The sequence below is a fragment of the Homo sapiens genome, chromosome 7, assembly GCF_000001405.40.
Source record: "Homo sapiens chromosome 7, GRCh38.p14 Primary Assembly".
Classification (NCBI taxonomy): Eukaryota; Metazoa; Chordata; class Mammalia; order Primates; family Hominidae; genus Homo; species Homo sapiens.
In genome coordinates, this window is record NC_000007.14 from 78,536,103 (window position 1) to 78,550,373 (window position 14,271).

General features: G+C 39.0%; 1 protein-coding gene across 14 annotated transcripts in view; it reads right to left on the bottom strand.

The window, feature by feature from the left end:
• The window catches only part of MAGI2 (membrane associated guanylate kinase, WW and PDZ domain containing 2), a 1,436,613-nt gene that overhangs the window by 519,048 nt on the left and 903,294 nt on the right, over positions 1-14,271 (bottom strand). The gene's annotated exons all lie outside the window — the stretch shown is intronic.

Genomic DNA, 14,271 nt, shown 5'->3' on the forward strand with positions numbered 1-14,271 from the left:
CTTTTTTTTTTTTTTTTTTTTTTTTTTTGAGACGGAGTCTCGCTCTGTCGCCCAGGCTGGAGTGCAGTGGCGGGATCTCGGCTCACTGCAAGCTCCGCCTCCCGGGTTCACGCCATTCTCCTGCCTCAGCCTCCCAAGTAGCTGGGACTACAGGCGCCCGCCACTACGCCCGGCTAATTTTTTGTATTTTTAGTAGAGACGGGGTTTCACCGTTTTAGCCGGGATGGTCTCGATCTCCTGACCTCGTGATCCGCCCGCCTCGGCCTCCCAAAGTGCTGGGATTACAGGCGTGAGCCACCGCGCCCGGCCGAATTAAACTCTTTATGGTGATTCCCCTGTCTTGATAAGTTGGCCTTGTCTGAGCCCCGGGCAAGGAGAACCTGTTGGGTAGTTACAGCTTGGGCTAGTGGAAGGTGATGGAATGGAGACAACGATGGTACCAATTAGGTTCCAAAGGAGAAAAACAGAAAACAGAGTAATGGTTAGGAAGGAACTAATATGAGCAGCTTGTGCTTGAAGAACTGGAAGACTTTTTCTTGATGACCTCCCCTTATCTCATTTGGAAATAAGCAATCTTGGACATATCTAAATTTGCTCCTAATACTCAGGATTTCTTTTTAAAAAATTTCAATAGTTTTTTTTTTGTTTTTGTTGTTGTTTTTTTTTTTTTTTTCTGGAGACAGAGTCTTGCTCTGTCGCCCAGGCTGGAGTGCGGTGGCGCGATCTTGGCTTGCTGGGAATAGGTAGTGTTTGGTTACGTGGATAAGATCTTTAGTGGTAATTTCTGAGATTTTGGTGCACTCAGCACCTATGCAGTGTACTCTGTACCCAATGTGTAGTCTTTTATCCCTTGCTCCTCTTCCATGCTTCCCCCTGAGTCCTCAGTCCGTTGTATCATTCTTATGCCTTTGTGTCCTCATAGCTTAGCTCCCACTCATAAGTGAGAACATACAATGTTTAGTTTTCCATTCCTGAGTTACTTCATTTAAAATAATGGTCTCCAACTCCATCCAGGTTGCTGGGAATGCCATTATTTCATTCCTTTTTATGGCTGAATAGTATTCCACTACACACACACACACACACACACACACACACACACACAGACACATTTTCTTTATCCACTCATCAATTGATGAACTTTTGAGCTGGTTTCATATTTTTGTAATATTTTTGTAATTGCAAATTGTGCTGCTATAAACGTGGGTGTGCAAGTGTCTTTTTCATATAATGACTTATTTTCCACTGGGTAGGTACTGAGTAGTGGGATTGCTGGATAGAATGGTAGATCTACTTTTAGTTCTTTAAGAAATCTCCATACTGTTTTCCATAGAGGTTTTACTAGTTTACATTCCCACCAGCAGTGTAAAAGCATTCCATTTTCACCACATCCATGCCAACATCTATTAGTTTTCAATTTTTTAAATTATGGCCCTTCTTGCAGGAATAAGATGGTATCACATTGGGGATCTGATTTGCATTTTCTGATAATTAGTGATGTTGAGGATTTTTTCATGTTTCTTGGCCATTTGTATATCTTTTTGTGAGAACTGTCCATATTCTTAGCCCATTTTTTGATGGGATTATTTGTTTTTTTCTTGCTGATTTTTTCCTTGTAGTTCCTTGTAGATTCTAAGTATTAGTTCTTTGTCAGATGTATAGTTTGCAAGGATTTTCTCCCATTCTATGAATTGTCTGTCTACTCTGCTGATTTTTATTTTGCTGTGTAGAAGCTTTTTAGTTTAATTAAGTGCCATCTATTTATCTTTTTGTTGTATTTGCTTTTGAGTTCTTGGTCATGAAGTCTTTGCCTGAGTCAATGTCTAGAAGGGTTTTTCCAATGTTATCTTCTAGAATTTTTATGGTTTGAGGTTTTAGATTTAAGTGTTTCTTCTATCTTGAGTTGATTTTTGTATAAGGAGAGAGATGAGGATCCTGCACGTATCTTGCCAATTATCTCACCACCATTTGTTGAATAGGATGCCCTTTCCCCCTGTATGTTTTCATTTGCTTTGTTGAAGGTCAGTAGCCCATAAGTACATGGCTTTGTTTCTGGATTCTCTATGCTGTTCCATTGGTCCCTGTGGCTATTTTTATGCCAGCACCATGCTGTTTTGGTGACTATAGCCTTGTAGTATAGTTTGAGGTTGGGTAATGTGATGCCTCCAAATTTGTTCTTTTTGCTTAGTCTCACTTTGGCTACATGGGCTCTCTTTTAGTTCCATATGAATTTTAGGTTGTCTTTTCTAGTTCTGTGAAGAATGGTGGTGGTATTTTGATGGGAATTGCATTGAATGTATAGATTGCTTTTGGCAGTGTTGTCATTTTCACAATACTGATTCTACCCATCAATGAGCATGAGATGTGTCTCCATTCATTTGTGTTGTCCATGAGTTATTTCAGCAGTGTTTTGTAGTTTTCCTTGTAGAGATCTTTTACCTCCTTGGTTAGAGATATTCCTAAGTTGCTATTATTATTTTTATGTTGGTGGTTGTTGTAGCTATTGTAAAAGGGGTTGAGTTCTTGATTTGTTTCTCACCTTGGTTGCTGTTGGTGTATAGCAATGCTACAGATTTGTGTATAGTGATTTTATATCTGAAACTTCACTGAATTCATTTATCAGATCTAGGAGCTTTTTGGATGAGTCTTTAGGGTTTTCTAGGTATTCAATCATATCATTGGCAAACAGCAACAGTTTGACTTGCTCTTTGCTGATTTGGATGTCCTTTATTTCTTTCTCTTGTTGAATCAAAAACAAAAAACAAGAAACAAAAAAACCAAGATATTCAGGCAACAACTAGCACAATGAATAGAATACTACCTCACATCTCAATACTAACATTGAATATAAGTGGCCTAAATGCACTACTTAAAAGATACAGTGGAACATGACAAGAATGCCGTGGCTAAGACTTCCAGTACTATGTTGAATAATGGCTAGCCAGTACTATGTTGAAAGAAGTGGAGAAAGTGGACATCCTTGTCATGTTCCAGTTCTCAGGGGGAATGCTTTCAACTTTCTCCATTCAGAATAACATTGGCTGTGGATTTATCATAGGTGGCTTTTATTACAAGGTATGTCCCTTCTATGTCAATTTTGCTGAATGTTTTAATCATAAAGGGACGCTGAATTTTGTCAAATGACTTTTGTGCATCTATTGAGATGATTTTTGTCATTTTTGTTTTTAATTCTGTTTATGTGGTGTATCAAATTTATTGATTTGTGTATGTTAAAACATCCTTTCATCCCTGGGATGAAACTCACTTGATCTTGGTGGATTACCTTTTGGATATGCTGTTGGATTCAGTTCACTAGCATTGTGTTGAGAATTTTTGTATCTATGTTCATCAGGGATATTGGTCTGTAGTTTTTTTGTTTTTTTGTTTTTTTGTGCCCTTTCAAGACATTTTGATGTAGGCATTTAATGCTATGAACTTTCCTCTAAGCACTACTTTTGCTGTATTCCAGAGCTATTCACAGGTTGTGTCATTATTATCATTCAGTTCAAAGAATTTTTAAATTTCCATCTTGAATCAATGTTGACCAGGCTGCAGTGATTGTTATTGCTCTTCTGGGTCTAGCCACCCAGTGGTACTGGGTTGGTACTGGGGAATGTCTGCAAAGAGTCCTGTGATGTGATCTGTCTTCAGGTCTCTCGGCCATGGATACCAACACCTGCTCTGGCAGAGGTAGCAAGGGAGTGAAGAGGACTGTGAGGGTCCTTAGTTGTTTTATTTACTGTGCTGGTTTTCTTGAATGCTGATTGTGCTGACAGTGAAGGTTTCACGTGGACAGACTCAGGGCCTCGGGTTCGCCAGGATGTTACTGGTGGTGGAATTAGCTGCTGTTTTCTCCTTTCTTGGAGCAGGGTTATTCTTTTATGAGTTGCTGTAATGGCTTGAGTTGGTTGGCCTCCAGCCAGGAGGTGGCGCTTTCAAGAGCGCATCAGCTGTGATCATATAGGGGGATATAAGCTTGCCCTTAGGTTGCCTGGATAAGTATTCAGGTTTCTCAGGCAATGGGCAGGGCCATACAGCACCCAAAAGTTTATGTCTTTCGTCTTTGGCTACTAGGGTGGGTAGAGAAAGACCATCAGGTAGGGGCAGGGTTAGGCCTGTCTGAGCTCAGCCTGTCCTTGAGCGGGGCTTGCTGTAGCCACTGTTGGGGATGGGGTGTGGTTCTCAGGCCAATGGAGTTTTCCTCCCAGGCGGATTATGGCTGCCTCTGTTGTATAACACAGGTAGCCAGGAAAGTGGGAGAAAGCTGGCATTGACAGGCCTTCACCCAGCCCCACGTAGCCAGGCAGGCCAGTCTCACTCCCACTGTGCCCCACCAACAGCACCAAGTTTATATCCAGTCAGCCGGTGAGCAGGGCTGACATCTTGCCCCAGGCGACAAGCCTCTGGACTGAGAGAGAAAGCAGGGGTTTCAGGCTCTGCCCCTCCCCACCTGCCATGACTTATGTGCTCATATTTCCACTTGTTTGCCACCCCCACCAGATTCTGCCCAGGAAAATTTGTGCTTGATCAAAATGACTACAAAGTTCAGCTGAAAGTTTCCTTCTCTCTGTGGTCCTTCGCCAATTCTACTGGCAGCCCTCCCTAAGGAACCCTGAGAGATAAAGTCAGAAGTGGCTTCCCTGGGCTTCTTTAGGGGCCGGGAGTGCCTACAGGACTCTCCCCGCTGCTTCTTCTACTTTTATATTTGGCTTTCTAAATTCATTTCAACTCTAAGTAAGGTTACACCCTTCTCCTGTGATCTGGATTTTCGGGTTCCCCAGCGAGATGTGTGTTTGGAGGCAGACTTTTCCCCTCTCACACTTTGGGCACTCACAGTTTTTCAGCCATCTCAGAGTTTGCCGTGGCAAGCCACTTCTTTCAAAGGGTCTGTGAATTCTTTCAGTTTTCCTAGTATGTTCCTGCAGTAGTTCTTGGAGCAGAAGTTCATGATGTGAGTCTCCACATGCTGTTCTATCTGTCCAAGGGGCTGCAAGTCAGTCCTGACTCCTATCCACCATTTATTTTCCTTCCCTGATACTCAGGATTTCTTTATGAGATGCTGTGGGCTGGCAACACCAGGCTGCAATAAGGATTTTTTTTTTAAACATTACAGCATCCTATAAGTCTTAATTTTTTGAAAGAATTACCCTTTTAAAAAGTCTTAATAGATATCAGACACTGATTGGTAGCCCAACAGCAGTTTAAATCTCTTGTCATAGCCCTTCTATTTTCCTGTAATTATTTATTTGATGTCTGCAAAGCCCTAAATTTTGGCTCCTCAAAAGGAGCCATTTATCATTAAGCTTTGTTTTCCCAGCCTCTAGAACAACACTGGCATATGGTCAATACTGAGTAAACGATTAGTAAATGAATTCTTACACAGAAGAGACACTCACATCCTGTAAAGAAAGATGCAGTCCTGGTGGTATTTCTTGACTTTCATGATGACAAGGAGATTTGGGAAAAACCACACATTAGAGCTTAAGCTTTCAAAGTGTAGGCCCCAGAGCAACAGCAGCAGTGTCACCTGGGAGCCTATGAGAAATGCACATTCTCAGGCCCCACTCTGCACTTATTAATCAGGAGCTCTGGGCATGGGTCACTCTAGGTCATTAGAATGCACGTTACTATCTAAGAACCACTGTCTTTGAAGATTCCCTTAATGAGAGACCAATTAAATGAGGTTTATTTTAAAAGGCCGGTAAAAGAAGGATTCAAGTATTTTATGATCTTCTATCATTCCTTCCTTCAAATAATCTTTATGAAAAGACTGAGGACAATGTAGTTGTTTTTAGGTATTACATTTCTGATATGCTAACTTGTCTATGTTAGGAATTGACAAATATTTTCTGTGAAGGGCCAGAGAGTAAATATTTTAGGCATTTCAGGCCATACAGTCTGGGTCATTGCTACTCAATTCTGCTGTTGTCGCATGCAGGTAGCTACAAACAGTCCATAAACAAATAAGTGTGGGTGTACACCAATAAAACATTATTTATGATACTAATATTTGAATTTCATGTGATTTCTATGTGATATCATTATTCTTTTTCATTTAAAAAATACTCTTTAAAAATGTAAAAGCCATTCTTACCTTGTTGGCGACACAAAAATAGAAAGTAGACTGGACTTAGTCCACAGGTTATAGTTTTCCAACCCCCAGTCTATGTAATAATCAATTACATTGAGGTTGATTTTTAAATTTTTCATTAGAAATTACACAAGAATTTCCAGGTATAGGTATCATTCATTAACTGAATACTTCATATGTACCTAGCAAATAAGCAATATAGACAAAGCTTTTGTCTTCAGGGAGCTTAAGAGCCCAGAAAAGACATCAAAATTAATCAAATAAATAAGTGAGAAAGAGAACATAATCAGAATACCGTAAGAGAGGGTAACAGAGAGAACTCCCTTAGACAGATTGGGTAAGAATGGCCCATCTGAAGCGATGCTATTTATACTAAGATGAAAAAGCTAATGAAAATTTGCCCACTATATGAAAAGCCAGAAGAGACTTTATAGGCCAAAGCACAGCAAGCATGAAGTCCCTGGGAAAGAAGGAGCATGTAGGCACCGATGAAACCTAACGTGACTGAAGCATAACATGTAAGGGGAGGAGGGGCAGCATTTGAGCCTGAGAAGATGACAGGAAGCAGATCATACAGGGCCTTGTCAGTGAAGTCAAGGATTTTGGCAAAGGTTTTATGCAAGGGGCTAACTGGATTTTATTTAAGGCTTTAAAAATGACTTCCTTCTTGTTACGCTGTGGAAAACAGATTTGGAGGGGACCAAGAGAACAGGAAGACGGTTTGAAGACTAGATTAGAAGTGTGCATGTGTGTATGTGAGAGATTCACAAGCATGCATTAGATATCATTAAAACTGAAAGGCTTACAGTAGAAATTCAGTAAAACAAAATGATTTCCTAAGCCCAAACTGATGATCTCATGATTGCAGATTAAAACCAATTCAACTAGAGACTCTAAGAAGTCTTTTGGAGGTTGATGTAATGGGATTTGATCTAGATACAGAATAAAATCTTCAAGGAAAAGGACAAAAGCTTCATTCAACATTATCCAGCAGCTAAAGAATGATATTCTTTATGTGAATGTAGAGAGAAAAAGGAACTTTGAATAGGTAGGTGGACGTCAAGAATGAATAAGCTTTGATAGTTTACTTCATCACAATGAACAGCTATTCAGTTCAGCTCCGTAATGACATTACTAGAGACATCTATCTAATAACACAACCCTATTAGCAGATCTGTCTAAATTGATATTGAAAGGACAATTAAAATTGGCACTCAGGCTACAACCAATGTTGTAAGTTGGAATGTATCAAACATCATTTTTAAAAAAGGTATATTGTTAACATTGGGACATAAATGCAAATTAGAGTAATGACTTCATTCAGCAATTTCCTTTATATGAGGCCATTCGAATCAGACTCTCTCCATAGAAAAGGGCAAATCCTTAGTAATTTAGATGATTACCTCATAGGAGTGAATAGTAAGTGAAATCAATACCATAAGGTCTGGCCTGCCATTTCCTTCCCGTTACTTCATGTCACTATGACAATGATGAGAACTTTTAAAAGTTTTCTTGCATGCTGGTTCATAAGCATTCACTAATCTCCTCCAACAATCTTCTTGTGCTCGGAAAAGAAATCCAATGTCATATTTGGAAGTTTTATTTTAAAAAGGTGAGTGCTGATACAGAATATTAATATGAACTTTTTAGTCATATCTTTATGTAGAACACTGGGAATCCATTGCCACTAAGGTAGATAATTATTCATTTAAGTTTTATGCTAATCATTCTAATTATTGCTTAGAAAAATAAAAGTGCCATATAGCAAATCCTTATACCATTCTCTTACATTCATGCCATAAACAACCAATAACCCAAGTGTGACTATGAGTTTCAGGAAACAATCTCTATGCTTTGGGCTGGAGGTAGTGTGCTGAAATTCATGAATTACAGCTCTTCCGACAAGAGCCCTTAGTGGCTCCAGGGACTGGAAATGGAATATGAAACTTCTGACCCAAAGGTCATTGGCTCCAATTTGGCTTAAACTGGTAGTGACTACAAGTTATTATCAACAGACAGCTGTTCAGCAACTGCTACAAAATGAATTGGTGATTTCAGTGTAATTCCTAAAAGACAGGTATCTGTGTCAGGAACACATGAATCCTTCATGCCCTAAGGTGGATAGTTCTAGACAGGAGTCAAGACATTGACTAAAAGGAGTTATCCTAGCACTTTCCAGCCTTTATAAAATGGGTCTTTTTAGATGGGAGCAGCCAAAAGTTTTTTGGCAACTGGCAAGAGTGTTTGTTACTTAATAGTTTGTCATTTGTAAGGTGGGGATACAATTATATCTGACTATAATCTCTCTGTATATCTATGTTTATGTTTAAATAAAATATAACAGATCTTAGTGGGAAATGCTTAGAGAAGATGTTAATAAAATAAGACTCTTGCTACTCAAAGTGTGATCTGCAGTCCAGTAGCATCAGCCTCACCTCGAAACATGTTGGAATTGCAAACTCTGAAGTATATGCCAGACATTGAATCAGAATCTTCATTTTAACAAGACCCTCAGGTGACTCAGTCACTCAATAAAGTTTGAGGAGTATAATCTGTCTTGAACCCGGGAGGTGGAGGTTGCGGTGAGCTGAGATCACGCCATTGCACTCCAGCCTGGGCAATAAGAGTGAAACTCCATCTCAAAAAAAATAAAAATAAAAATAAAAACAAAAAACAACAGCAACAAAAAACCTGACTTCAGGTGATTTGCCTGCTTTGGCCTCCCGAAGGGCTGGGATTACAGGCGTGAGCCACCGCACCTGGCCTGTATCTTAATTTCGTAATCTAGTATCCCTGGCTGTTTACATTACTTATGTTGCCACTTATAAAACTGCCTGCCTATTCATTGTCTCGGCATCCCTATTAGACTTTAAGCTCCTAGAGGGCAGGTATCCAAGCTGGCATTCCTTTTGAGTCCAATGTAGGTTTTATCAATAGAACAAAGGAACTTGAAATTATAAGTCTTCAGCACCTTATACTAAATTGAGTCATGCCAAATAATCTGATAATAACCTGATTCTTTTTTTTTTTTTTTTTTTTTTGAGACAGTCTTGCTGTCATCCAGGCTGGAGAGCAGTGGCTCGATCTCTGCTCACTGCAAACTCCACTTCTCAGGTTCAAGCAATTCTCCTGTCTCAGCCTTCTGAGTAGCTGCAATTACAGGCACGCACCACCATGCCCGGCTAATTTTTGTATTTTTAGCAGAGAAGGGGATTCGCCATGTTGGTCAGGCTGGTCTCAAACTCCTGACCTCAGTGATCCACTCACCTCAGCCTCCCAAAGTGCTGGGATTACAGGTGTGAGCCACCGTGCTCAGCCCCAAATAAACTGATGCTTATGCAACATTAATTTAAACAGATTGTGTTTACCTGAGAGACCTGAAGGGCTATCATGATGCCCTGGATCATTAGCCAGCAGTAAATTGCTAACCGCTATTTAATGACATTGTTGGTAGAATACATGGTAAGAGTATTTTGTCCACTCTGCTAAACTTGTAACCACAACATAATGAAATACTCCGGCTAATTTTCAAAATGAGTTTGTGTAGAACATATTGATATTTCATACATTACATTAAATTTAGTCAACATGAGACTGATTAACTGGAATTTATTTAAAATTTGGATTATGATTTTGTTTGTATGGTGTTTATAATCCCTACCTTTCAAAGGAAAAAATAAAATGCATTAACTTTATGGTACTAACAAATCAATTTGCCTGAAGTTCAGCTGTTCCTAGATCAGAGGCTTCCATTCTAAAACTAAGCCAAAAACGTTAAATAATATATTGAATATTTTCCCCAACACATATTTTATCACCCTATTCAAATTATCTAAAATAAAGATGTTCATGTATTTGGGTACCCAAGGTTTTCATAAGAGGCTCTCTCAAGTCAGCTATATGTGTCAGTTTGGGCAAGTTTCCTAAGTTCTTTGAGTCCATATTTTAATAATTTTTGGCTTTTTAGGAGAAAATATTAAGACCAAATTTATAATGCTATCTTGAACATTTAATGAGATAAGCTTGAACAAGATTTTTGGCAGATAGGTACTCCCTAGTTATTTGTACTGCTACTACTTCTAGTACCTCTGCTACCACCACCACTATCATTATTGCTAACTGGCATTCCTACTTGCAGCACAATATTTGCTATAAGATCGTTAGGTAGCATACCAGATTTAAACATAATTGAACATGTAAGATCCACTCTTACATGGTTCACCAGGTAACATCAAAACATAATACTCTAAATTAAAGAAAAGCATAAGAAAGATAGACAAGCCTGCAGGTCTAATTATCTTTTCTATTAATTCTAAAAATTCTAAATTATAGCTTAATCTAATCGTGGCCTTTCTTTAAGCCTTGGAAAATTAAACAATTGACTGTGTTGATTAGTATATTGCCAACAGCTGTGTCCCCCTGTGTCCTCTCCCTTAGTAGAAAGAAATGGTCCTTTTATCACACCCGTTGTCAAAGATCCTCATCTCTCTCTCTCTCTCTCTCTCTCTACCTAGAAGCAGTATAATTTAGGATTAGGAGTATAACCTATGGACTCAAATAGAGGCTTAAAGCTGTTTTGTGCCACATAGTAGCTATGTAAGTTGAAGCATGTTATAACGTCTATAAAACAGGGATAATAACAGTGCCTACCACACAGAGTTGTTCTGAAGCTGTTAAATGGGATGTTGCTTACTTTTGCATAGCACTCAACTTTGTGCATTGGACATGGTTAAGCAACTAGTAAATACTATTATTGCCAAGACTTGAAGTATTAACAAAGGGCATAGTCTCTGCCCAGGGACCATGCTCACTTAATTGTACAGTAAGTTCTCACTTAATGTTGTTTATGGCTTCCTAGAAACTGCAACTTTAAGCAAAATGACATTTAATGAAACCAATTTTACTACAGGCTAATGGATATAAAGAAGAGATTAACTCCCATGACCTATTTCTGGTCATAAAAACAACACCAAACTTCCAGATAAAGACCCCAAACACTTCTAATACTAAATATTGAAATAAATGTGAACTATACATACATTTAGGAAATATTAATTAAAATAAGTAAGATTATTTACCCAATTTCTGGTGATTCAGTGAGAGACAGCATTCATAGTGGTGGTGGATTAAGGAAAAAGTGTTTACAAGCAACAACTGTAAAAAGGACCTCCTATCACCATGCAGTTCATAAACAATAAGAAATATGGCAGGTTCGCTGAGTGCTTTCGCACCTCATAGTTTATTGCGGTGTATTGGTATGATTGTTCTAGACTTTATAAATGGTTATTTGACAACAATTTGTATTCATTCATTCATTCTTCATTCATTCATTCGTTCATTCAATTTTCCAATCTGTATATTCTATTTCAGGGCTGAGGATGGCTGGAGCCTATCCCACAAGCTCAGGGTGTAAAGGAGGAACCACCTTGGACAGGATGCCATTCTATCACAAGGCACGCGCGCACACACACACTCACTCAGATTACGACAATTTAAACATGCCAACTCACATAATGTGCACATCTTTGCAATGTGGGAGGAAACTGGAGTATCCAGAGAAAACCCACACAGACAAAGGGAAAATGTGCAAACCTCACATGGACAGTGGCTTCAGCCTGGAATACATTTTTTCTGACATCGATGTTATAATAAAACAATATTGAGTGAACTGATGTTATCCAATGACCTGCTATATTCCCAATAGAGGGCACATTTCAATGGACTGACCTTAGGAACTGGTGAGTACAGTTTGCCTTAACCTTTTAAGCTTCTTTTCTTCTCACCTCTAGAATTGGATTCTCTCAGAATGCTGATTAATACAATATCTTTAAATTGCCCTAGCTCATGGTAACCTATCAACTTCCTAACCCCTTTCTCAAGCTCATCGATTTTGCCTTCAGAGTTAGAAAGAGCCTTGACCAACTATCTAGTCAAAACTCCCATTTGAGGCATTACAGTTATGCCTGCATTCCCAGTGTTCACTCAGCATCAGTTTTCAACATTTCTAACGTTGGAAAGTTCACAACATAATTAAACAACCTATTCCATTTCTGGATAGCTCTTCATTATGAGAAACTTATTCTTTCTTTGGAGCAGAAATCATTGTTCTTTGTTACATGAAGCTAATGATACTGGTTTGAGCTTTTGGAACAGAATAGGATAAGTCTAAAGGCTACTCCACAGGACAGACCTCCATGTATTTTAAGATTGCTTTCATGTCGGCCAGGCACAGTGGCTCATGCCTGTAATCCCAGCACTTTGGAGGCCAAGGCAGGAGGATCACTTGAGGTCAGGAATTCCACATCAGCCTGGCCAACATGGTGAAACCCCGTCTCTATTAAAAATACAAAAATTGGCCGGGCGTGGTGGTGCATGCCTGTAATCCCAGCTACTTGGGAGGCTGAGGCAGGAGAATCCCTTGAACCTGGGAGGTGGAGGTTGTAGTGAGCTGAGATTGTATCACTGAACTCCAGCCTGGGTGACAAGAGTGAAACTCCGTCTCAAAACAAAACAAAACAAAAACAAACAAAAGATTGCTTTCATGTCTTAATGCTTAAAATGTAATGTTGAACACAACTGAATACAGTTTTAGAGACCTTATTTTACCAGAATAGAAAACAGTGGGACAATTATTTTTTCTTTGATTTAGATGTTAACTATTAATAATCCAAAGTCTATATTGAGTTAGGTAAAAAGAATTCACTTATGGTTGAATTTGCAAGATGAGATTGCTTTAAAAAGCATACTGCCTTTCAAAATGTATGTGCCCTTTTTACTATTCATCCATGGGTTTGTTAAACCTCAATTCATTCAAGGAAAAAGTTTCTCTTCTTATTTTCTATAAATAGATTGCTAATAAGTTTAAACTACTTTTATTAGCAGCATCATGTCTTACAAAAGTAGGTTTCCTGTTTGAGAGGCTCAGTTTGACAAGCACTCTTGGTAAACAAAAAATTGTGGACTTTGAGAATAAGAAAAGTTGATAGATATAAGTGGGCCTGGAACTATTAGCTAGGTATTATGGATAGGAGCTGGCCTGCTATTCCCAGCTAGGCTATGGTGTTCTCCTGTGGAACATCAATAGTTTCACAGAACGCCAACTTCAGACAAGGCCATTGTGTGACCATAGTGGATCAAGACAAAAGTAAGACTGCCTTCTTTTGCATATTTCCCAACTACTGCATTCACCTTTGTTCATTCATCTGCATTCTAGATAAGAATTATAAAAACCCAATCATAAAATCACCCGATTCCTCACAGCATCCATCCAATCTGGAGAAGAGTCCTACTGCCTTGAGCTCTCTTCAGGATCACCTACTATAAAGCCAAATCCTAAATCTTCCTACTGAGATGGCTCATAGTGCTCCATGGAGTGCTCTCTTCCTCATTTCTCAATAACGAGTTAATAAAATCCATCTTTCTTTGACTATAGGTGTGTTCCTGGTGACCTTGGCTGAAGGGCATTGCCATCTTGTTACTGATGTGACACATAAAAAAGACTACCTGGATTTTTATCAAATGCAAAACCTACTATATATTTCCTATGACCTATAAAACACAAGTATAATATGTCAATGTATTAATAGGATGATGCAAATTTGGACATTAAATCCTTTAATAAGGGCCTATTTGTGTGTTTGTTACCATGAACTGAAAATCATTTTCTGATGGAAATCTTGCTTTTGGCTTACCTAGAGTTTCACCCTTAACTTCTACTATGATCTGAGTATTTGTCCCTCCTATCCTTGATAGTGTTAGGAGGTGAGGCCTTTGGGAAATGATTGGGTTTTCAGGGTGAAGCCCACGTAAGTAAGATTAGTGCCTTTACAAAAGAGGCCCAAGTCAGCTCCTTTGTCTCTTCCATCATGTGTGGACACATAGAAAGCACCGTCTACAAACCAAAAAGCAGACCCTTAGCAGATACCCTATCTGCCTCGATCTTGGACTTTCCAGCCTCCAGAACTTTCAGAAGCAAATTTCTGTTGTTTATAGGCCACTCAGTTTACAGTATTTTGTTATAGCAGCCTGAATGGACTAAGGTAATATCCTTTAGAACAGAAGTTAGATGATCTTTTGTTCAGGCACCCATTCTTTGGGCACCTCAGTTTTTATAAGAGAATCAATCCTATCTGCCACTCAGCTGATAAAATATTTAATGCTCCACTTGACTGGCAAAAGGG